Consider the following 24,863-nt stretch of genomic DNA (forward strand, 5'->3'; position numbering starts at 1 on the left):
GACAACATATACAGAATGGGAGAAAATTTTTGCAAACTATGCCTCTGGCCAAGGTCTAATATCCAGCATCTATAAGGAACTTAAATTTACAAGCCAAAACAAACAACCCCATTAAAAAGTGGGCAAAGGACATGAACAGATACTCTTCAAAAGAAGACATACATGTGGCCAACAAACACATGAAAAAAAGCGCAACACCCTTGTAGCATAGTTTGAAGTCAGGTAGTGTGATGCCTCCAGCTTTGTTCTTTTTGCTTAGGATTGTCTTGGCTACACAGGCTCTTTTTTGGTTCCACATGAAATTTAAAGTAGTTTTTTCTAATTCTGTAAAGAAAGTCAATGGTAGCTTGATGGTGATAGCATTGAATCTATAAATTAATTCGGGCAGTATGGCCATTTTCACGATATTGATTGTTCCTATCCATGAGCATGGAATATTTTTCCATTGTTTTTGTCCTCTCTTATTTCGTTGAGCAGTGGTTTGTAGCTCTCCTTGAAGAGGTCCTTCACATCCCTTTTACGTTGTATTCCTAGGTATTTTATTCTCTTTGTAGCAAAGGGCTAATATCCAGAATCTACAAGGAACTTAAACAAATTTACAAGAAAAAAAAAACAACCCCATCAAAAAGTTGGCAAAGGATGTGAACAGACACTTCTCAAAAGAAGACATTTTTGTGGCCAATAAACATATGAAAAAAAGCTCATCATCACTGATCATTAGAGAAATGCAAATTAAAACCACAATGAGATACCATCTCATGCCAGTTGGAATGGTGATCATTAAAAAGTCAGGAAACAACAGATGCTGGAGAGGATGTGGAGAAATAGGAACACTTTTACACTGTTGGTGGTATTGTAAATTAGTTCAACCATTGTGGAAGACAGTGTGGCGATTCCTCAAGGATCTAGAACCAGAAATACCATTTGACCCAGCAATCCCATTACTGGGTATATACCCAAAGGATTATAAATCATGCTACTATAAAGACACATGCACACGCATGTTTATTACAGCACTATTCACAATAGCAAAGACTTGGAACCAAGCCGAATGCCCATCAATAATAGAGTGGATAAAGAAAATGTGGCACATATACACCATGGAACACTATGCAGCCATAGAAAAGGATGAGTTCATGTCCTTTGCAGGGACACGGATGAAGCTGGAAACCATCATTCTCAGTGAACTAACACAAGAACAGAAAACCAAACACCGCATGTTCTCACTCATAGATGGGAGTTGAACAATGAGAACACATGGACATAGGGAGGGGAACATCACACACTGGGGCCTGTCAGGGGGTGGGGGGCTAGGGGAGGGATAGCATTAGGAGAAATACCTAATGCAGATGACAGGTTGATGGGTGCAGCAAACCACCATGGCATGTGTATACCTATGTAACAAACCTGCACATTCTGCACATGTATCCCAGAAGTTAAATTTAAAAAAAAGCACAACATCACTGATCATTAGAGAAATGCAAATCAAAACCACAATGAGATACAATCTCACGCTAGTCAAGATGGCAATTATCAAAAAATCAAAAAATAACAGATGTTGGCAAGGTTGTGGAAACAGGAGAATGCTTATACACCATTGGTGAAAGTGTAAATTAGTTCAACCATTGTGGAAAGCAGTACAGGAGTTCCTCAAAGAGCTGAAAACAGAACTACCATTCAACCCAGCAATCCCATTACTGGGTATATACCCAAAGCAATATAAATTGTTCTACCATAAAGACATGCACATGTATGTTCACTGCAGCCCTATTCATTATAGCAAAGACATGGAAGCAACCTAAATGCCCATCAATGGTAGACTGAATAAAGAAAATGTACATATACACTGTGGAATACTATGCAGTCATGAAAATGAATGAGCTCATGTCTTTTGCAGGAACATGGATGGAGCTGGAGGCCATTATCCTAAGCAAACTAATGTAGGAACAGAAAACCAAATACCACATGTTCTTACGTATAAGTGGGAGCTAAATGATGACAATACATGGATACAAAAAAGGGGAAAAACAGACACTGGAGTCTACTTGAGGGTAGAAGGTGGGAGGAGGGAGATGATCAGAAAAAATAACTAATGGGAATGGGTACAAAGTATAGTACTTGAGTGATGAAATAATCTGTACACCAAAGCTCCACGACACAAGTTTACCTATATAACAAACCTGCACATATACCCCTGAAACTAAAAATAAAAGTTAAACAATCATAAATACTTAGAAAACTCATTCATTTCTAAATATATATTGATTCATGTTCAGTAAATATCTAACAGCACTTAATATGTACAGGTACTACTGTGCTGGAAATACAAAAAAGCATGGTACTACTATAAAAATAGGCACATAGACCAATGGCACAGAATAAAGAACCCAGAAATAAACTCAAATACTTACAGCCAACTGATCTTTTACAAAGCAAACAAAAAAATAAAGTGGAGAAGGGACACCCTTGAACAAAACAGACAAAAACTCCTGCCTCTGTGAAATTTACATTCAGGGGAGCTATATACAACAAAAGTATAAATAAGTATTGTACACACTCACCCTTCATATCCATAGGGGAATGGTTCCAGAACCTTCCATGCAGCCCCAAATCAGAAGACGTTCAAGTTCCTTATATGAAATGGTCTAATATTTGCATGTAAACTACACTCATGTTCTCATTTAATTTAAATAATCTCTAGATTATTTATGATACCTAACAGAATGCAAATGTTATATAAATAGTTTTTATACTGTATTGTTTAGAGATTAATGCCAATAAATAAAGTCTGGACATTTAAAAAAGAAAAGAAAAATCCATACCATACTATATTTCACATCACCTGCATTTTCCTGCAGGAAGACAGCGGCATACAAATTTCAGAATATTCTTATAATTTTCTTTATAAAAGTGGAATTATTACAATTGTTAAAGAAACCCAAATGCAGGTGGTTTATATTGAAAATCAAAGTAAGGAGTTCCTGATGGGAAACATTTTCCATAGCATTTCAAGGATTCAGAGACACTAATGTCTACTTTCTTTAAGAAATCCTAACTCTGGGGAGACTCAAAGATTGAATCCACCCAATCTTACAATGAGGAAAAAGAAAGCTTTTCTAACAGATTTAAAAAAACACTGCCTATGATATATGCAGCCAGGGACTTCATGCATTATCTAAAGCTACGAACAAAAATGTGTGAGGTAAATAACTTTATTTGCGAAGCCCTATTATTCAACCTGTTGTTGCCTAATGGTACTGAGGCTAGCGCCCTTCTAGGAGCAACCCTGGGCTCATCTTGAAACTCTGGTCCTGTATGTCTGACTCTGCTTCTTGAACTCTCTTATTCTGTGTATAGTACGTTTGTCCTCGATGGCAGAAACCTGGTTCATATTTTTCTCTCCCTTTGTCATCTTGGATTCTGTGCTACCTATATTGTATGTTAACTTGATACTGGAAAATAAAATGTCACTGCTTAAAGGAACCAGGATGTTAGCACTAAAATTCTAAAGTCCCATGTAGTTCAAAGTTTTTTTTTTCACAGATGAAGAAACTGTAGCCCAGAAAAATGTGTCTTCCCCAAGGTCACACAGTTAGAAATAGTTTGTTACAATAAAATTTCACCGATCGGTGTCCCAATTTCATATTTAGACCTCCTCCTGTTAATGAATTTTTGTCATCCAGATGAATTAATCCCACTTCAGCTGTTTAAAGAGAAGGGTGAGAGTTTCTCTCCACATATTTCTTTATCTTCCTTACACACATGCCCATTCTAAACTATATCCTGCAGACTTATAAAGCATACCCCACTGACAGGGTTAAATGAAGACAGGCCGAATGTGTGGCAATATCAGAGAAATATTCCCCTATATAAGCATCCATGGGTGTTATTCATACTATATCAAGTGATTAGAAATTTCAGGAAGTGCTTACTTAAACAGCCAGTGTGGTGGTAAGCAGAACACAAATCTTAACCCGGAGACAGCGCAACCTGGAGGCTGGTTGCAACATTTAGCAAGTTCTCGTAAGGAAGCATTCATGAACAGATTAAAATATCGGCAAACTTCTCCCCAAAAATACCACTGGAAAAGAATACCTAAACACTAATTTGATGATGACAAAATAGGTTTTCTTTTCTAATAAGTTCTAGTTTAGGGAACTTACTGTATTTTACCCATTTTCATTGAAGATGAGAAAAACTGTAACTTACCTTCTCGCTGACTCAAAAAGTCATGAAAAATTTTACAGATGGTTTATAGATAGGCCCGGAGTCATAGATGATACCTGTAACTGCCAAGGAACTGCAGTTCCAAGGTTTCTCAAAACTCCTAACTACCAACTATGCTGCTTCCTCTAGTATTCCATGTTACCTTTGCCCTGAAAAATTAATAATTGTGGTAGTTTATTTTTCAGTAAATATTCACTCCCTCCTCCCCTCCCTTATTTTATATTTAATATTTATATTTTATATTTCCATATATATTATTATATTTGCATGCCTCATTGATGTTGGACTTCGCCATGTCATTTACTGTAGCCAATGTCATGTCGGTGCATTTGACTGTGTGCTAAGTCAAGATTATGCCTTAAGCAGCGTTACTTGTTTTGTTCTCTTCTCTGGGAGCTTTTGACCACTGACACCATGAGAAAAACATGTAGGCAGTCCCCTGGCTTAAGCATAAAAGACAAGTGGAACAGGCCTGAATCAACCCCGTGGCTTGGAGCCAGGCCCAGCTGAGCTCAGCCTATGTCAGCTAAACTCCAGCTGAATCACGCATAAGAAATTCTTCTTATTGTATGCCACTGAGAATTTCTGATTGTCAGCAGCAGTAGCTGACTGATACAATAGTTGTCCCATATGTTATTCCATTTGTTACTTTGTAAATCTTTGCTGATTTTCCATTTCTCTATATTTTACCTTCCCAATCAGTTTGAAAGACACCTGGGCAGCTTGATCCATGTTTTAACTTATTTGGACCCCAAAGTACACACCACTATAACCACTCAATATATTCTAGTTGCAGTCACGAGTGTTTTCCTGGTACCGTGCATTGGAGTAAGTCTTTGCTGTACCATTGATAGCCCTCAACGACAAATGCTGCATTTCAGTAGCAATCTCAGAATATGTTTTAGAAGCATAGAGGCTAAGTAACTCAACAGAATAATCAGTGAAATTGAGCAAGTGGAGAATTCTTCATTTGGGGACATTGCTGGCATTTTAAGACACTTTTCCATTCATGGTAGAACAGTTATTGCACATAACTGAAAAGGCCATTTTTCTCAAGGTAAAATTGCTGATTTCAGGAGCACATGGTCTGAAAAAGCTTTTATGAAGAGAGCACTATTTTCCCATTGGATTTCTCCATGAATCTGGTATTTAGAACTGCCCAAAGGCTAAGGGCTGATATATTTGCTATTATGTTTCACAACAGGGCACAGATGAAGCAGGACAGGGAGCAAGGCGACCTTCACCTTCATATATCACATATATACATGTTGTACCTCACATATATTACATACAATTACATAATTACGTAATACATACATGTACTTACATATACCATGTAATTATAAGTAATACATACATGTAATATATGTCATACACTGTTCATGTTGGGAAAAACAATCCAGTTAGCTTTTTGAGGTGAATTTTCTTTATTCATCTGAGAAATGGCTTAACATTCCCAAGTAATACCAATTCTGCTATAGGATGACAGGCGTTTAGGGCATTAAAGATTATTTTTTTTAAATGTATTAAGGGAGAGGGTAAAGAAATCCTAGAAACCCCCAAATTGTATCTATCAGTGGCAGCAGATGAGTGCTTAGCCAGTTTACTGAAAAGATTTAATTACATCTCTTTCTTACCTTGAATGTCTGCATGGATTTGACATACCGCTTAAAGCAATGATTTTGACATACCGCTTAAAGCAATGATTTTGACATACCGCTTAAAGCAATGATTGTCCAAAGAACAAACTCTTCCTGCGGCTAGTAAAATGAGTCCTCTTGACAGTAAGACTTACTAATAGGAAATTAATGATTGTCAAATCTAGGGCTCAACAATGACAAAGCTTTTTGGAACTTGCCATATACTTTCTGTGTGACATTTTCAGCTTTAAATCTTTGCCCATTCTGCTCTTTGAAATCTTGATATGTAAGATCTGGATATGTATGTCATCATGGAAGCACGCCTAGTTAAGATCTCTGCAATCTGATTAAAGAGGGGAGAAGACTGAGGAAATAAACAACCTGTTTTTGTATATGTGCTATTCCTAACTTTACCAATGTTAGTGAGATCCTTTTCCCCTGCAGAAGAGCTGAACAAACTAGCAAAGATTCGCCAGGGCTTGAAACAACAATCAGAGCAAATCCTAAGGAATTTAGGTAACAGAAAGGTAAGGTTCTAATTAAAAGAGACATTAAAACCTCTGGTATTCTACAATATTTTAACTCTTAGCTTTTCACTGCCATTATTGGTTTTTGCCTTGAGATACTGTTAAGAGTGGGAATGTTTCAGGATATTTTGTAGGCTATGGGAAATCTTTGCTTGTTAACAGATTATTGCAGTTTGTAGAAAATTATTTGAGAACCTCTGTGACTCTTCAATAATCCTATTATTTTAAAAACAAACTCCTTTTCTTGTCATTCGTCCCAAAGGCACTTGGAATCAGAATCTCTTGAAGAGAGAGAAAACACAGCTTCTTTACCATTCGAGTGTTTTTGTGTGTGTGTTTGTTTTTCTGAGCTCAGGAATGAGGTAATGAGGGCAAGTCGGAAAAATGTTTGTGGCTAGGCTGGAAATCAATGGAAAACAGGTTATGGTTTTACAACAAATCAAGTGTCACAGATCTGCTTTGTGTTTGGGAGTTAATCTACTCTCTCTAAAAATTCTCCAAAAGCCAGTTAAAGCAAATGAAGCAAGACTTTGCAGGAACCCCCGAGAGAGAACACACTGCTATGTCACACAGCTCTCACAAACGAGTGGGAGAGATTGTCTGAAATGTGTGTTTTACAACAGATGCCAATTGCTCTGATTCTTGCCATTAACAACTTCAGAATTAGCTTACAAATGGTAATCTTCACAGAGCAGTGACTTCTGTGTGGGAAACCCAGGAAGAAAAGTGGCTTTTCAGATTTTTTTTTTTTCTTTTGCAGCTGAACACAAATGAGCCTGGGAGCCTCTCTGCACTGTGTAGAAAATACAACTATATTCATTTAAGTGTATGTGTGGCATTAATAATTCAGAGAAAGTGATAGTCAAGGGTTGGAGAGAGGCTGGAAATCAACTTTGAAAGCATAAAAGTTGAAAGATAAAGTGTTGAAAATCTCCTTGGCTATTTAAAAACTCATATAAACCAGTAGTTGGAAATCACTATTTTGGTGTTCAAATTCTTAACACCTCCATTTTTCTGCTTAATTCCAAATAATACTCCTGGATATAAAATTGGAATAGGGCTGAAATATTAGAATTTGAGACAGAAAAAATGCTGTAGTGGTATACTTTAAAGCTGAGGCCATAAGTAATCATGAAAATACTAGTCACTGGTTTTTACATTACTAACAACAACAACAAAAACAAATCGGGACAGTAAGTCTACTGTATTTCTTCCCATTTGTTTAAATGGTATAGTGTATTACAGCATGACGTGACTCTGCTCAGAAATGAGACAGAAGGGAAGATTGCAAAGAAGACTAAGGCAGAAAGAAACACCTTGTCACTCTTCAGTGGTGGAAGAGATGTGGGGTAGATAACGCCACTAGAGACAGATCCCCAAGTCATTTTTATTTGCTTGGAAGTACATTGCAGGCTCTTTACAGTTTTGTATTTCCTTCTCAGTGGTACCTCTTTCAGGCTGATATTAGCATGAGGGATTATTCAATTACAGGGAGGGGGACAAATTTGAGGGTGTTATTGGAGGGAACCAAACAGCTCAGGGAGCAGGAAAATGGCCAACAGTAATTAAATATCTGCCATCATTACTCCCAGTGGCGCACATCCGTGTACACATATTCGGAGGTCAACTCGTTGATGATATATATTCCAGTAGCACCCATTAAATGAGTAAGCCTCCTCCCCAAATGTGAAGGCATTCAGCTTTCTGTGACTAAGAAAACTAATTTTGGGAATGATTTTCATCATCATAATGGATGAGAAGCACTGATAGAGCATGAATGATACGTTCACATCTCATCTCAGAAAAATCCAGTGCTTCAAATTACAGTGCTTGAAATTCAGGGACCTTAAGCCTAACATAAGAAATTTCCTTGGAAAGAGTCTTTCCCTGACAATTAAAAAAAAATAAAATAAGCACATTTCACCTGCCTTCTCAAATAAAGGGGTCTCTAGGCTTATATTTAAATTGATTTCACTCCTTTCTAATTCCTGGACAAGCACAGGACTCTTGTCATTATTGAAGAGCAATCTAATTTTAAAATCTCTACACCTGAAATCACCTCTTACTAGAAACTTTTCTTGCTCTGTTTTCACTTCTTCTGAACCTGTTCCTTTATTCTTCTCCTGACTCCTATTCTATCTTTCCCCAGCTCACTCTCCTCCATTCTGATTTCATTCATCATTCTATCAGAGATTTCAGTGACTGCTCAGTGTGCTGAATGTCTTTCAAATACCTCCATAAATCCATGACTCACCCTTTTCCACCCTGCTCTGTTGCCACTGAAGGCTGATCTGAATTTTCTGCCTTCTGGTTGGGTACGGTCAATGAGAAGCATTGGCAAGAAGCTAGAAGGAGTATTTATTCTCTCACTTCCATTTTTGTCGGGTCACCACAGTTAGCTATGTTCTTTGAGCACATCTCCTAACGGGTGCCCCGCAAGTATCCTCTGTGGAATCCAGTAACCATGCTCTCCCCCGTCTGGTTATTCCTTAATAAGGACAGCAGCTGCTCCCCAGTATTGGGAGCCCTGGTATACTGTACTGTCTTTTACAATTTCCTTCAACTCCGCTCACAACCTTGTAAATCGTTTATTAAACTCTAAATTCCAGGGTTTTAGGGTCCCATCTGTTTCCTGCTGGCAATATGATTGACAAACTCCATATAGCACTAAATCCTTTGCTCCTTTAATGCCATTATCAATTCCTGTGGTAGACAGACCCTAATGTAACCCTCAATGACCCCTGCCTTCTGGTATTCACGTCTTTGTATCATCCCTTTTCTTTGAGTGTGGGCAGAACCTGTGACTTGCTTCTAACTAACAAAATATGTCAAAGGTGATGGGAATGTGAATCTGGTAATTATGTTATTGATATGGTTTGGGTCTGTGTCCCTTCCCAAATCTCATGTCGAATTTTCATCCCCAATGTTAGAGGTGGGCTGTGGTAGGAAGTGATTGGATGATGGGGGCAGATTTCCCCTTTGGTGCTGATCTCACAATAGTGAGTGACTTATCATGAGATCTGGTTGCTTAAAAGTGTGTAGCGCCATTCCCCACTCTCTCTCCTTCCTGCTCTGGCCATGTGAAGATGTACCTGTTTCCCCTTTGCCTTCCACCATGATTGTAAGTTTCCTGAGGCCTCCAAGCCATGCTTCCTGTTGAGCCTATGGAACCGTGAGCCAATTAAACCTCTTTTCTATATAAATTACCCAGTTTCAGGTATTCTTTATAGTAATGCAAGAACGGACTAATACAGTTACTTTATATAAGACTCTGTCTTGCTAGTCTCTTTCTCCTTCTCCTCCCCATTCTCTATTTCTCTCTCTCTCCTTCACTTTGAAGAGATGAGCAGCCATGTTGTAAACTGCTATATGAACTATGAACTATGAACTGGTCTGCAGGGCAGGTAATTGTGAGCAGTCTGTAGGAGCAGAGGGCCTCCATCCTACAGCTATAAGGAATTGAATTATGCCAAAAATGTGAGTGGCCTTGGGAGCAGACCTTTCCCCAGCAGAGGCTTCAGATGAGAATTTGAGCCTGGCAGACATCTTGATTGAAACCCAGTGAGGCGCTGAAGCAGCAATCTCAGTTAAGCCATGCCTGGAATCCTGATCCACAGAAACATTGATACAGTAAGTATACGGTGTTTTAAGGTGAAATATTTTTGTTAACACAGCATTAGAAAACTAACGCAATCTCAATCACTGGAATAGCCTCTGGTAGGCAGTATACTTTCCTAGTTCCTACTGATAGGTAACTGAATATTTCTAGAGAAAAATCATGAAAGAATGCTGACTGAAACTGGAAATCATGTATGTCCCGTGGTTTTAGCTAAAACACTCTCAGTAACCCTTCCTTCATATCTTCTTGATTCTTGAGTCTTGAGCACCCCCCCCCCCAATTTTATCCTTGAATTCGCTTTTATTTCCTTCTTACTGAGTAGCCTATAATAACATTCCATGAGGGGAAAAGCCAGGAATGGGAATGTTCATCTTGGCCAAATCAAGTGAAGGAGAAAAGGTTTAGGCTTGAGGTTTGTCATCCATGGGTTCATCAGTGTACAGAAACTACCGTCTCAAAGTTCATCAGTAACCTCACAGGTGCCAAATTCATTGACCAAAAGTTGTAGGCCTTCCTCTGAAGTCCTCGCAGCATTTTGCCAATAGTCTCTTTTTGTGATTCCCTCTTTCTTGGCACTCTTGAGCCCACACTCTTCTGCCGCTATACTACCCTCTCCCATTTTTCTTGATCTTATTCTAATTTATTAAATGGATGTCTTAGACATTACCACTTCTCACTCATGTTCAGATTTCATCTTCATCCCAGGTTTCTGAAGGATTATATGTGTGAACTTCTTGCCAATGCTTAGCTTTGGCCAAATCCAAAAAGCAGGCAGAAAGTTTAGTTAGGCAAGGCCATATGATGAGTTCTACCCAAAAGATTGTGAGGGGGAACTGATGGCTGTCACTTACAGGCTGAAGAAATTAAAAGTCACTGTGAGACCCTCTAACTCTCTCTTCTCCTTTCTTGGTGAGATGTTGAGATGTTGCAGCCATAAGATGGAAGCACATCCTGGTTCTCTGAGGCCCCTGTGGAGGAAAGATACCCTGGAGAATTGTTGAGGCTCCATGGAACATCGCACAAGTGAGAAACAAATTTTGTTGTATTAAATCATTGAAACTTCATAGCTTTTTAGTTAAAGCAACCTGGTGTATCTTGACTGATTCAGGGATCATTATTCAAACTTCCTCCTCGTATTCTTTCTTTCACAATATATTCATATACTGGTCAATGCCATTCATCCTTAGAGCTTCATTATCACTTCCATGTCAAGCATATCTAAATTAATAAATTCAGGCAGACTCTTTTCAGCGACTTCTAATTCTGCATGTCCAATTGCTCATTGGGCATCCCTTTGCTGATGTCCTTCTGAAACATTAAAATTCCAGTGTACAAAACCAAACCCATGTTCTTTCCCTCACATCCAGGCCCACCTTGTGATATATCTATTTCTATTAAACTCCCGTGTTGTGAAAAATAAAATTACTCCTCAGCATATGCAATCACCTAGTACTACCTGTTACTCCATCTCCTGGGTAACTCTCCCTCTGCCATTTCTGATTCCTCTGCTTGGTCCCTCACTGGATCTCAGTCATCTGCAGCTAGAGAGATTAAGACATCCACTGTCATCACTCCACTGACGCACTCTTCCTAAAAACACCAGGAACCCATACAGTGGACATATTTTAAACCTTATAATGCTAGATTTTTCTTCTGTACTAACACTAGTTATCATTGTTATCCTCTAAAAACTTGATTCTCTTCATCTCTGTGATGACTCCTTTTACATTTCAGTTATAGGCTTCTCTTCTGACCAGGTCTTAAATGTCATTGCTTCCCAAGCATCTATCCTTACAACCTTCCTCTTCATGGGTTTCTCTGAATGCTTTAGTCTTTTCCCACGGCTTTAAATATTTCTGCACACAGGGGACGTGTTTATCTCAGGCTGTGGTCTTGCCCTTTCTCCCAAATTCCACCCGTTCACTGGATCCTTACACCTACTTGAATATCCCTCACGTACTTTAAACTCAAGATTTTCAAAGGTGAACTCATTGTCTTATGCCTAAACGTCTTTCTTCCACTGTATTTACTTTGGCAGTTGGTAGACACCCAAGATAGAACCATCAGATTTAGATCATTACCTCCATTTACTTCCCCACATTGTTTAATCACCACATCCTGCTGGTTTTGCCTCATAAAAATTTCTTCAGCCTCTTCCTTCAACTCCACCATTGCCCACTACCTACTGCCCCCATTTAGGTCTTCATCTTCATTTTCTTTGACTATTACAATAGTGTCTGAGTAGCCCTCCTGCCTCCAACCTTATTCCCTTCAAATATCTCCTCCCACTTCAGATGGCCTGGATATAAGTATGTCCCCAATTTGAGTTCCTTAGCTCTTTACCACGGCCCATGGGATAAAAGTGCAAACTCCTTAACAAAAGGCAAGCAAGGCTTGTCGCTGATGTGGCCCCATCAACCTCTCTGTTCTCATCTCTAACCTCTTATCGAGTTATATTACTCAAAAACTAATTTATGCTAAATGCTCTTGCTAATCTTCCCAAAGCATAGCTCACTCTTTACATTAATATGCTCAAAAGCATCATCTTCTTATTGTCTATCGAATGGAGACTGACCTTTTAGCCTTGGAATTCAAGGTTCTCCATCTAAACTCTGGGATTTTACCACTCATGATGGAAGTTTCCTAAATAGTTCCAAATAAAGAACATGTGGGGCCAGAATTGCTTCAGTGACTCATAACTCTGGGCTTGGTAATGAAGGACAGGAATGAGACTACAAGTAGGGATCGAGCGACCCCAGTTGTGAGAAGAAAAATGAGGGCTGCCAAGCCTACATTGTGACAGACATTTTTACACTGAGTAAACCAAGTCTGGGAAAGTTTAAGTCTCCCAGAGTTACAAACTTGATAATGTAAGAGGCAGGTTTAAATACCTGTTCTCTTTCAATCTAGAGCCCCATTTATTGCTGGTGCACAAAACGCCTTCCAGTATTTCCATATTGAATGTTTATTCTATCACAATCCTACTCGTATTTCCAGGTGCAGCCAGAATCCACAAAGACTTTCTTGAATCACTCAATACATGGTCATGTATTCATTACAGAACTATCTGTGAAAAATGGAAATATTCTCTAACTTTGTTTTCTAGCCTAGGAGCTACTAGCCACATGCGGTTATTGAGTACTTGAAACGTGGTTAGTAGGACTGAGGAACTGAATTTTAAATGTTATTTAAATTTAATTACTTAAATTCAAAGGTGATTAGCTGCATGGGTCTAGTGGATCTGTAGCTCTAGATTTCTGCTATTCAAAAATGGTCAATCTGCATTGGCATCACCTGGGAAGTTAGTAGATATGTTGAATCTCAGGCCCTACCTCAGACCTGCTAAATCAGAATTTGTAACAAGTTCTCCAGGTGATTCATCTGCACATTGAAGTATGAGAAACACTTCTCTAGGGCATTTGTTAGCAGTAGTTTATGGCTTTTCAAAAACCATATTTCATATCAAGTTTTATAATACAGGCACCTAGAGGGGAGGAAACATTCAGATAGCTAAGTAACTATTTGTTGAATTAAACATAGCCTGTATACTTAAAGAATCTATTATATATGTGGAAAATAGGTGGCCATTTCTAAGAGAAGAGTTCTGAGCAAACAAAGAATACAGCATATATAATTATAAAGATCTTCCCTTGAGACCTGGCCCCAGTTGATTCAATAAACACATATTGATTAACTGTGATGTGGCAGGAATCTTCTAGGGACAGGAAATATAGTAGTGAGTATGACATAATCCTTGCCCATATGGAGCTCACAGATGAGGAAAGGAGAGCAAGTGTTCAAGTCTAAATAATCTGTATTATAAAAAAGCAAAGTTTCTATTGGTCCACAATCACTGATTTCAGTATCATTTTAATTCTTAATATTACTAAGTTTTGGCTGGGCACAGTGGCTCACGCTTGTAATCCCGGCACATTGGGAGGCCAAGGCAGGTGGATCATGAGGTCAGGAGTTCAAGACCAGCTTGGCCAATATGGTGAAACCCCATCCCTACTAAAAATATAAAACTTAGCTGGGCATGGTGGCGCACACCTGTAGTCTCAGCTGCTTGGGAGGCTGAGGCAGGAGAATCGCTTGAACCAGGGAGGTGGAGGTTGCAGTGAGCTGAGGTCGTGCCACTGCACTCCAACCTGGGTGACACAGCGAGACTCTCCCTCTCAAAAAAAAAACAAAAAAAACTATTACTAAGCTTTGCCTCAGGAAAAACAAACAAACAAAAAGATAAGCATTTAAACTGAAGAACTATATTTGCATTCCAGTAGTTCTCAGGAGGGGGTGATCTTGGATCCCAGGGGGATATTTGGCAACAACATCTGGATGCATTTTTGGTTGTCACATTGTGGAGAAGTGTTACAGGCACTGAATGCGTACAAATCAGGATGCTATTAAACATCCTACAATGCACAGGATGCCCCCACTCCCCACCCCCAACAAATAATTATCTGACCCAACATTTCAGTAGTGTCCAGGTTGAGAAACCTTGCTCCACTCTTTTTGAATGGATTCAGAGTAAAACAGTTCAATGAGAAAGATGTCTCTATTTTTGATGGAAGAAACTTGAAGAAAATGGACCAGTGGAATAGAGATCTGAGTCACCACCTTGGCTTCTTCCATGAATCTGCAATGGGAGCTCCAGTCTAAGAAGAATCATCACCAGCTACAATAGCTCCCAAAAGAATGCTCAAGAGAGGACCTTTTGGGGGAATTGCATTGTGGATGTACTTCTTCCTTCTTTGATACCTCTACTTGAATAGGTGGCTTAGTTTCCTTTTTTGAGATCCTGGAGTTCTCTGCTTAATTTATGTGGGAGAGTAGCAGAAACTGGAATACACTTTTCGCCACACCTTTTGACAGGAGTCAAAAGGATTTAATCCAGTTCTCAAACCCAGGCTGCATGTCAGAATTCTCTGGCAGGCTTCCTTAAAAACATTGACATGGGTGACATCAGTGAAAATGTTGGAGCACGGAACTCTAAAAAACTGCCTTTTGGGGAACCAAGGGCCCCTTTGGCTACCAGCCAGGCTCTGCTCAAGGACACCAATCCTTCGTTTCCATCATGTTGAGGACCTATGACCTTTGAGCTACCTTAAGTATTTGTGATAGAGACCTAGGGGCCCTTTCAGTCACCTGCCAGACCAAGCACAGAGAGCTGAGGTCCCTCTGAGCCACTAGCCTCCGCTCCCACTAAGTTAAGGGTGGACCTTCTGGCCATGAGTCAGTTCTCTGGGTCACTGGTTGTATGGCAGAATGAGAAACCGGGAACCTTTCAGGCCACAAGTTGGGAAAATTTGGCTCCCTTTAGTCACCATCAGTGCCTGCAGATGGTGCTCTGAAGGTCCTTCCAGGCACCACTCTGCCTGTGCACCCTAGGGTTCCAGCCTTCCCACTCACTGAGGAACTGACAGCACTTTAGGTCATCTGTCCCCCCATGCACTGTGGCCCTGGAATCCTTTCCTGCCTGCCTGCTGGGATTCCGGGACCCTTTGGGCCACAAGTCTGCCCAAGTGCTAGAGAACTGTGACTCCTTTTGTCCACCATTATAGCCTCATGTTGGGTGCTCCAGGAAACATTCCAGGAATTGACCTGCCCATGTGCTAGCGTCTTGGTATTCCTTCTGACCACATGCCATCCTGCTTGTTGGGGAGCCAAGGGCATTTTTGGCTACCTTCCCTCCAATGAGGGGGTGCCCAGAGGCCTTTGAGTAACTTGCCTGTCTGCACACTAGGTTATGGACTCCTTCAGACCGTCAGCAGCCTCTATCTAAGCTGGGGAAACAAAAGTCATTTTGGCTACCGTATGACCCTCATGGTGCAAACCAGTGGAATCTTCTGCTCACACACCAACTGCCCTTTCGAGGTCTCGAGGGCTTTCTGGCCATCATCCCTCTACTTGCCAGTTATCAGGGCCACATGCAGGACTCTATATTCACGGGCACACAGGAAATGGGAGTGTGTGCACCGGCCTGATTTTAGTATGGGGAATACCTGCCCCCTTCAGCCACCATCAGTGCCTTGAAGTTCCTCCTGGCCACTAGACTTCCCTAGCACTTGGGTTCCAGGCTCCTCCTGCCCACTAGCCTTCCAACTTGCTGTGGAACTGAAACCATTTTGGCTACCTTTCCTTCACTGTGCTGAAGCACTTGGGGCCCACGGAATCACTAGAATACCCGTCTGCTGGAGTTGGGAGGATTCTTACAGCCACAAATTAGTCTGGGTTCCTGGTGAAGGGAGATTCCTCTCAGCCTTTGTCATTTATATATGATTGTTCCTTGGTGGCATTCCTAGCACCAATTTGCTCTAGGACTAGGGCTCTGGTCTTCTTAAGGCTACTAACCTTTCCGCTTACTGAGGAACCAACTGAAGTTTCAGCCACCTCATCTCTGTGGTACTGTTGACACTGGCATCCATCCAGTCCCTAACCTGCTCTCCCCATGCAGTTTTGGGTTTCTTTGGGGCCACGAGCTTGCCTGCGCGCTGGGAAATTGTGGCTCCTTTTAGCCACCACCTTATCCTTCCCCCAGCCACCTGGGGAAACTTCCAGGCAGCAACCTGAACAAGTGCTATGGTTCTGGGTGTTTTTCTTGCCATCAGGCTTCCCCTTTGCTGCTGAATAGGAGAGCATTTTAGGCCACTTTCCTGCATAGCGCTGCTGTCTGGGGAGCCCATCTTGTCACTAGTCTGGCTGCTGGGATTCCTGTCACTCTTTGCTCCACAGGCCAGCCCATGTGCTGGGAAACTATGACTCTTTTTGCTCATCATAGTTCCTTCAAGGTAGTGCCCTGGAGGTACCTTCTGGTTTCCGGTGGTCCTTCAGGCCATAAGCTTCCCTTGAGCTGGGGAAATGGAAACTTTTCAGATCCCTTTCTTCCAGTGATCTGATGCCACGTGGGCCAACCAGTCACCAGCCTACCGGTATGCTTAGGTTGTGGGAGATACTTTAGGCCATAACCATGCTGGTGTTTTTGGGAAACATGGCTCTTCTTGGCAACCATAATACCTTATTGAGGGTGCCCTGGGCATAAGCCTTCCCTGCTGCTAAGGTTCTGGTCAGCTTCCCAGCACCAGCCTTCTCCCTTGTTGGGGAAGGGGACTTTCAATCACCTTCGCTGCAGTGTGCTGATTTGGAGGGGAGAAGGGTGATGTGGGGTGCCCATCTGGTCTATAGCCTATCCACTTGCAGAAGTTGCTGTCATCCTTTGCCACAACTTGACCACGTGATGGAAAATCTTAATTTCTTTCAGCCACCATCACATCTTCCTGTAACCAAGTATCTCAGCCTTGAAATGCATTTTGAAACCTTTTTCTTTCCTTTCCTTCCTAATTGCATAACGTAGCCTTGTACTTTAAAACTCTTTGTTTCTCTCTCTCTCCCACCAGGCACATCCGTGCACAGTGCTCATTTATCTAATTATGCACTTGCTTAGAGGTTTCGGGGACTGGCTCACACCTGTAATCCCAGCACTTTGGGAGTCCGAGACTGGCAGATCACCTGAGGCCAGGAGTTGGAGACCAGTCTGGCCAATGTGGTGAAACCCCATCTCTACTGAAAATACAAAAATTAGCTGGGCATGGTGGCACATGCCTGTGATCCCAGCTACTTGGGAGGCTGAGGCAGAACTGCTTGAACCCAGGAGGCGGAGGTTGCAGAGAGCTGAGATCGTGCCACTGCACTCCAGCCTAGGTGACAGAGCGAGACCCTGTCTCAAAAGAAAAGAAAAGAAAAAAGAAATTTCAGAGGCTAATTTTGAAACAAACCAGGCATGGAGACCCAGCTGTGAAATCCTCCCACTTAGGGAGAGTTATGAACAGTTAGTCCACCACTACCAAACCAGACCTCCAGATGGATGGGCGATTACTCAAGATAGCCATTGACACCACTCCTGCAAGTTTCCTAGACCACGTTTTCATTCTTAAACCCCTTCACTCAGCCCAGAAAGCTAGAATGATCTTTTAAAGTCATGAACCTGGCCATTCCTCAACTGCTAACATTTGAAGAAAGTTGCTTTTGCTTCTTACCACACCTGGCTTCTTATGTTTTCAGCCTCTAAGTGGCAAGCACATGGACTTGAGCCAGTTACATTCCAATTAGTGCCTCCAGAGAACTTTCCAGGTATCAGCCTGCCTGCATGCCTGGATTTCTTTTGTTCTTAAGCTCACTGACCTTCCCCCTTGCTGGGGAAACGGGTGAAGTTTTGCCCACCTCACCTGCAGTGTGCTGCTGCTCTGGGACCCATCTGGTCACTAGCCTGCCTTCCCTCATCTATTTCTTGGGGCACAAACCTGCAGACATGCTGAAGAACTGTGACTCCTTTTGGCCAGAGTCTTTTCTTTGCCCTGTCCCCCTAGAGAACCTTCCGGCCATCAGCCTGCCTATGTGCTATGTCTCCAGTTGTCCTTCCAGCCGTCAGCCTTCCCCATTACTGGCAAACTTCTGTCACTTTTGGCTTCCGTCTCTGAAGTTTACTGATTCCATGAGTGCCTGTCTGGCCGCTAATCTGTCTGCCCACTGAGTTTTGGGGGATGTTTTAGGTCACAAGCCATCCCGTGTACTGCAAAGCTGTGGTTCATTTCTCCCTTAGTCATATTCTTGCACTGGTGCCCTTGGGGAAATTTCTGGGTACCAGCCTGCCAACATGGGACAGTTCTGCTTGTTCTTCTAGCCTTCTCCTTTGCTGTGGAACAGAGAGCACTTTAGGTCACGTTTCCTGCATAGTGCTGATGCTAGAAATAGCTTTGTGGGAGATTTTGATGAAGTTTCATAGACCAGTGTTTAAAAGTAAGAGTGAAAATCCATGGATCCTAGGATAATTGCTTCAAACGTTGTTACTTAATAAGAGCCAAAAAGTTACTCTTTCAAAGATGTGAGTGAAACAGTGATTTTCACACGACTGTTCTGGAATTCCTCTTAAGATTACTTTATAGGATTGAACTCCACATGGGATCCTTGTAGAACAGTGTGCCGTGCAGTCCATTGCTGTTCTACCCCTGACCACCTAGGAAAGCAATATTGGCTGAGTGCTGTTTGCATGTACACCTGAAATAAATCCCACTGTAGTTTCTAGTCCAGTGAGAAACTAAATGAAGCACTAATGGTAAAGCAGGAGAAAGCCAACAGCAAAATAACAGTGTTAATGAATATCATTGCAAATCCTCTTCTATAATCCTGGGCTTGGCCTGTAAGCAACAGCTCCTCCCAAAGCACACATTCTGCTATCAAGCTATGAAAAGACATGGAGAAAACTTACTCCATATTACTGTCTGAAAGAAGCCAGTCTGAAAAGGCTACCTACTGTACAATTCCAACTGTGACATTCTGGAAAAGGCAAAACTGTGGAGACAGTAAAATGATCAGTGGTTGCCAGAGATTATGGGGAAGGGAGAAATGAACAGATAGATCGCAGAGAATTTTTAGGACAGCGAAGCTATTCCATATGATACCATAATGCTAGATACATGTCATTATACGTCGAAACCCATCGAATGTACAACACCAAGAGTGAATCCCAATGTAAACTATGGACTTGGGTGATAATGATATATCAATGCAGGTTCGTCAACTGTAAGAAATGTACTTTCTGGTGGGGGATGCTGATAATGGTGGAGTTTGCAAGTGTGGGGGCAGGAGGTATATGGGAAATCTCCGTACTTTCCTCTCCATTTTGCTGTGAACCTAAAATTGCTCTAAAAAAAATAAAGTCTATTAGCAAAAAGAGGTACTCATTCCGAGAGATTACTTCAAAGTCACAGCTGTAATCAGATAATGAGATCATGCAACTCAAGTTCCCATGGTTTATGTCAACAAAAGAGATGTTATCCCTGCAATTTCAATTGCCAAAGGGATGTTTGGATTATAAAAAACATCCCTGAATTATCAGTATAAGAAAATGGACACAAGTGCTGGCTAAATATAATTGGTTAAAGTTATGGTACAGAAAACTGTATTTTTCCCTATTTAATTTTATTTGATAGGACAAAAAATTACTTGCCAATCGCTTCCCCTGCTGTCATGCTGTGTTTCGAGCCTCATTATGCTGAACTCTAGTACACACCTATTATTCTTCAATTTTTCTCTTAATTTATTCAGGTATTTCTATGATTCTTAATTTTTACTTGGCCCTGAGGATATGAAGAAAAAAAAAAACACAAACCCACCCCCATTTCTTGTTTCCAAGAAAAATGGCACAGAGTCATAGGAAAACATGGACGAAAAGGTGCACTTTATCAATTAAGAGGAGGGATTGTTTAGAGTTTTTCACTTCTAGAGAAACGTCTCAATAAAGTCATTTTATGAACCTTAGTTTTGAGACAGTACAGTTGAAAATGTATATTGTGAAGCCTTAAAACAAGTTCTTGCCACTGCTTTCTACTCTATCCAGACTGTATCGATAGGTTGATGTGGGTAGGGTGGAGAGGAGCCTGTTGCAGTCCTAAAAATGGATTTAATGTTCTTTTATTAATACTTTACCTAATTTTCCAATTTTTAAGTTGGACTTCGTATTTGCCAGCCATCATGCTAATAATCATGATTTTAAGGAATGCAGCCTCTAAGGCCTTACGGTAAGAAAAATACTAGAAAGAATATCTTTTCCTTTGCTGTTTAATGAGGCCATCACCCTTTTAATTCTTATGGATTTTCTCACTCATTACTAGCTGTGGAGTAGCAGGAGATTCTCTGCTTCTTTGCTACCTTAAAACCAATAATGCACATTAACTAACACCTTAAAGAAGATACTAACACAGAGATTATAACGATTTAACACAAGAATAACCTGTTACAGTAAAGCAGGGCTTATCTCAGGAATGCAGGAATGATAAAATATAAGGACATGCAGTAATATAATTATGTTGATAATACTCTAACAGCAGAAAGGCATTTGCTAAAATTGAACATTTAAAGGCATTTTTAAAAAGGGATTGAAGATTTTTCCATATATACATGTATATATATATTTTGACAGCCCTTATCAAAAACCTGTCATAATTATCGTCAATAGCACATTGCTAGAGAATAAGCTCAGGAACAACAATAACAAACATCTATGTTTACTGTTTTTATATAGTAGCATTTTGGAAATGTTTATTAATACAGCAAGCCATGTAAAAGAAAATAATACACGCTATTATTATGAAATGGCAAGATTATACACGTAGACATCCAAGGCATTCAGCTAAAAATAACAATCTTTAGTCTTAATGAAAGTTTAATTAAGGGAGCAGTATATGATACGCAGAAGTCAATAGTATTCTGTACATTCACAGAAAAGAAATAGAACAATTTCAAAAAGGTCAATTCAATGGAAATATAATGCTCTTAAAAACTATAAAGAATAAACATAACAAAAGATGTAGAGAAGCTAAATAAAGACAATTGCAAAATTGCACTGGTGTACTGAAAAGACGACCTGCATAAGTGGAAAACTGTGACATATTATGGGATGGAAAGACTGAATATTTTCTAGTTGTTCTAAGTTATGTTTTAGATGACCTGGAATTAAATCCTTAATCCCAAATAGTTTTTTTTCTGAAAGTTGATGATTTTATTCTAAAGTTCAACTGTTAAAACAAATAGTTAACCTTTACAAATACACATTTGGAAATAAGGATTTTCACAAAACAATGCAGAGATCCAGAAATGTGAACTACATGAGCAAATATAGAAGATCTTCAATTCAAATCACCATTTAAATCACAATTTAAATTTGTATCTAAATCCTTTCAAAAGATCATTAACTGTTTTTCAGAAAATTACTACAAACTCCAGCAACTCTACTTCTAGATATCTACTCAAAAGTGTTGACAGCAGGAACTTGAGCAGATATTTGTGCACCAGTGTTCATAGCAGCGTTATTCTCAATAGCCAAAAGGTAGAAATAACCCAAATGAACACTGATGGATGAGTAGATGAACAACATGTGGCATGGGTATGTACATACAGTGGAATATTATTCAGCTTTAAAAATGAATGAAATTTTGATACATGCCGAAACATAAACGAATCTTGAAAATAGTGCGCTAAGTGAAATAAGCCAGACACAAAAGAACAAATATTGTATGCTTCTGCTTACATGAGGTACCTCGAGTGGTCAAATTCATGGAGACAGAAGTAAAATAGTGGCTACCAGGGGCTGGAGGGTGAGGGGAATGGGGAGTTATTGTTTAATGGGTATAGCATTTCAGTTTGGGGTGCGATAAAGTTTTGGAGATGGATGGTGGTGGTGGTTGCACAACAATGCGAATGTACTTAATGCCATTGAATTGTACACTTAGAGATGGTTAAAATGGTAATTTTACATTATGTCTATTTTCCCACAATAAAAAAAGACTTAAATATATTAAAAGTCATAACAATGTATTGTGGCAGCATGTGCACACATGTGCACACACACACAGACCAGGAGGGGAAAAATATAAATAAACTATAGGAAGGTGTTTATACTACATGTGAGGTGGTATATACATTTATATTTGATATGATATACAGTTGAAGGTAAGTACAGATAAGTTAAAGATGTATAACACGAACCCTAAAGCAATCACTAAAATAAGAAAACAGTTATAAGTTAATAAATCCAAAAAAGGAGATAACAAGGAATAAAAAAATATTCTAATTGCCTCAATTAAAATTTAGAGTTGTTAGAATCGATAAAAATTGAAGATCCTATAAGAAACATACTGTAAGTACAAAGACACAAATAGGTTCACAGTAAAAGAATGGGAAAATATACCATGATAACACTAATCAAATAAAGCCTAGTAGCTATATTAAGATAAAATATTTCAGAGAAAAGAATATTACTAGAAAAAGATGATTCTTTCATAATGATAACAGGGTCAATTCATCAAGAGAACATAATTATTCTCAACTTTTAGACACAGATGGCAAATAAGCAGATGAAAAGATGCTCAACATCATTAGTTATTAGGAGAAATGCAAACTAAAGCCACAATGAGATACCATTACGCATTCATTAGAATATGGCAAAAATCAGAAAGACTGAGCACACCAAGTGTTAGTGAAGATGTGGAAGAACTAAAACTCTCCTTCACCGCTGGTAGGAATGTAAAATGAGACAACCATTGTGGGAAACAATTTGGCAGTTTCTTAAAAAGTCAAATACCTACTGACAATACAATTCAGCCATGCCACTTTTAGATATTTACCTAAGAGAAAAGAAAGCATACATTCATAGAAAGACATGCACCTGGATATTCCCAACAGCTTAATTTGTAGTAGCCAACAACTTTAAATAAATCAAATGTCCATCGATAACTGAATGGATAAACAAACAGGGGTATAATCATCCAAGGGAATTCTACTGAGCAATAAAATAAATGAACTATTGATATGTACCACATGATGGATAAATCCCAAAATAATTACGCTGAGTAACATAAGCCCCACCAAAAAGGAATATTCTATGATTCCATTTATCCAGAACTCTAACAAAATGCCATCTAATCTAGAGTGGCTGCTGGTTGGCTGGGGACAGGAGAAAGAGGCTGGGAAGGGAAGAGTGACAAGGAGGAGAGAATTAAAGAAGGTACAGGGAAACTTTGGGGGAGTGGTGTATATATTTATTCAATATATATTCATTTTGATTATAATGGTGGTACATTTAAAGTATGCTTGATTTATTGTATGCCAGTTATACCTCAATAAAGCTATTAAAATGTATATAACATTGTATATAAATTTAAATATAAATGAAAAGTCGTTTTACCTTTTTAAGATGGCAAAAGAAGGACATATAATAATAATAATAGTAGTGATAATTCGTTAGTAAATGGACAATAAAATGAACATATATCACACTATGAATGAAGAGTTTCGCATAAATAAACTTCTAATATAAATAAAGGAACAAAATCTAACTAATAAAGGGAAGAAATTGAATTGTGTTGATCATTTATCAAAACCTTCACAGAAGATGCTGACTTTCAAGCATTGGAGAGATAGCAATAGTCATAAAGAAAAAGATACATAATTTTGTGTATACTCTATAAGAGGAAAAGAATGCCAAAAAGCCATCTGGGAAAATATTTGCAGCAAAAATGTGTGCGGGTGAGTATCTCTATAAAGTGTCCAAACAAATGGACCAATTCTAAGATCAATAAATAAACAAGAAAAAGATGTGAACAGACAATTCACAAAAGAGGAAATTCAACAAGTAAATTTATTCTCAAAAAGTGGTAATGTTTTTTACCCCCTTAATAAAGCCTTAAAAGCAAAGCTATTGAATGGTGATAAGAATACTTTGAATCTGATACTCCTTTTTATTACTGCTACTTTGAATATTAGCAAAAACTTTACAGAAAGTAACAGCGCTGGTTTTTTAGAAATGTAGAACTATTCACATACTTTGCTATAGCAATTTTCCTTCTGGGACTTTAGCCTAAGGAAGTAATCCAAATGCTGAAACAGTCTTATGCATTTACATATTTTTCAAATAACAATGAAAATTAAAAACAGTTCAAATAGCTAAAATAGGAGAGTAGCTAATTAAATTGGGGTATAACTGCTCAATGGAATATTTTAAAGCCATTAAATATAACAAAGACACTACATAGCAATATGGGAAAGGCATAAAATATAATGCTAGGTTTCAGAGCAATATATTACATTTTATGAATTCTATGGTTACAACAATGTAAATATTTTTATGCACCAAACATGAAAGGTAAATAGAGACACTCCTTGACTTAGGACAGTGTTACATTCTGATAAACCCATCATTAGTCTAAAATATCATAAGTCAAAAACGGGTATTTTTGGTATCTGAGATGTGAAAATACAAAACACAATATGCAAAAATGCTGGCAACACAGAACACTG

The 24,863-nt window shown here is 39.4% G+C and overlaps 1 long non-coding RNA gene across 1 annotated transcript in view, besides 1 other annotated feature; it reads right to left on the reverse strand.

The window, feature by feature from the left end:
- Window positions 1–24,863, reverse strand: part of PTCHD1-AS (PTCHD1 and PHEX antisense RNA) — a 1,100,142-nt gene that overhangs the window by 337,127 nt on the left and 738,152 nt on the right. The window lies entirely within an intron of this gene.
- Window positions 4,555–4,742: a silencer, noted in NCBI's record as "fragment chrX:22552803-22552990 (GRCh37/hg19 assembly coordinates)". NCBI's record gives its function as "represses an EF-1alpha promoter that drives an FKBP-Casp9 reporter gene in an ReSE screen in K562 erythroleukemia cells {active_cell/tissue: K562}" and the evidence as "EXISTENCE:reporter gene assay evidence [ECO:0000049][PMID:32094911]".

This window comes from Homo sapiens, chromosome X, assembly GCF_000001405.40.
Source record: "Homo sapiens chromosome X, GRCh38.p14 Primary Assembly".
In the NCBI taxonomy this organism is placed as follows: domain Eukaryota; kingdom Metazoa; phylum Chordata; class Mammalia; order Primates; family Hominidae; genus Homo; species Homo sapiens.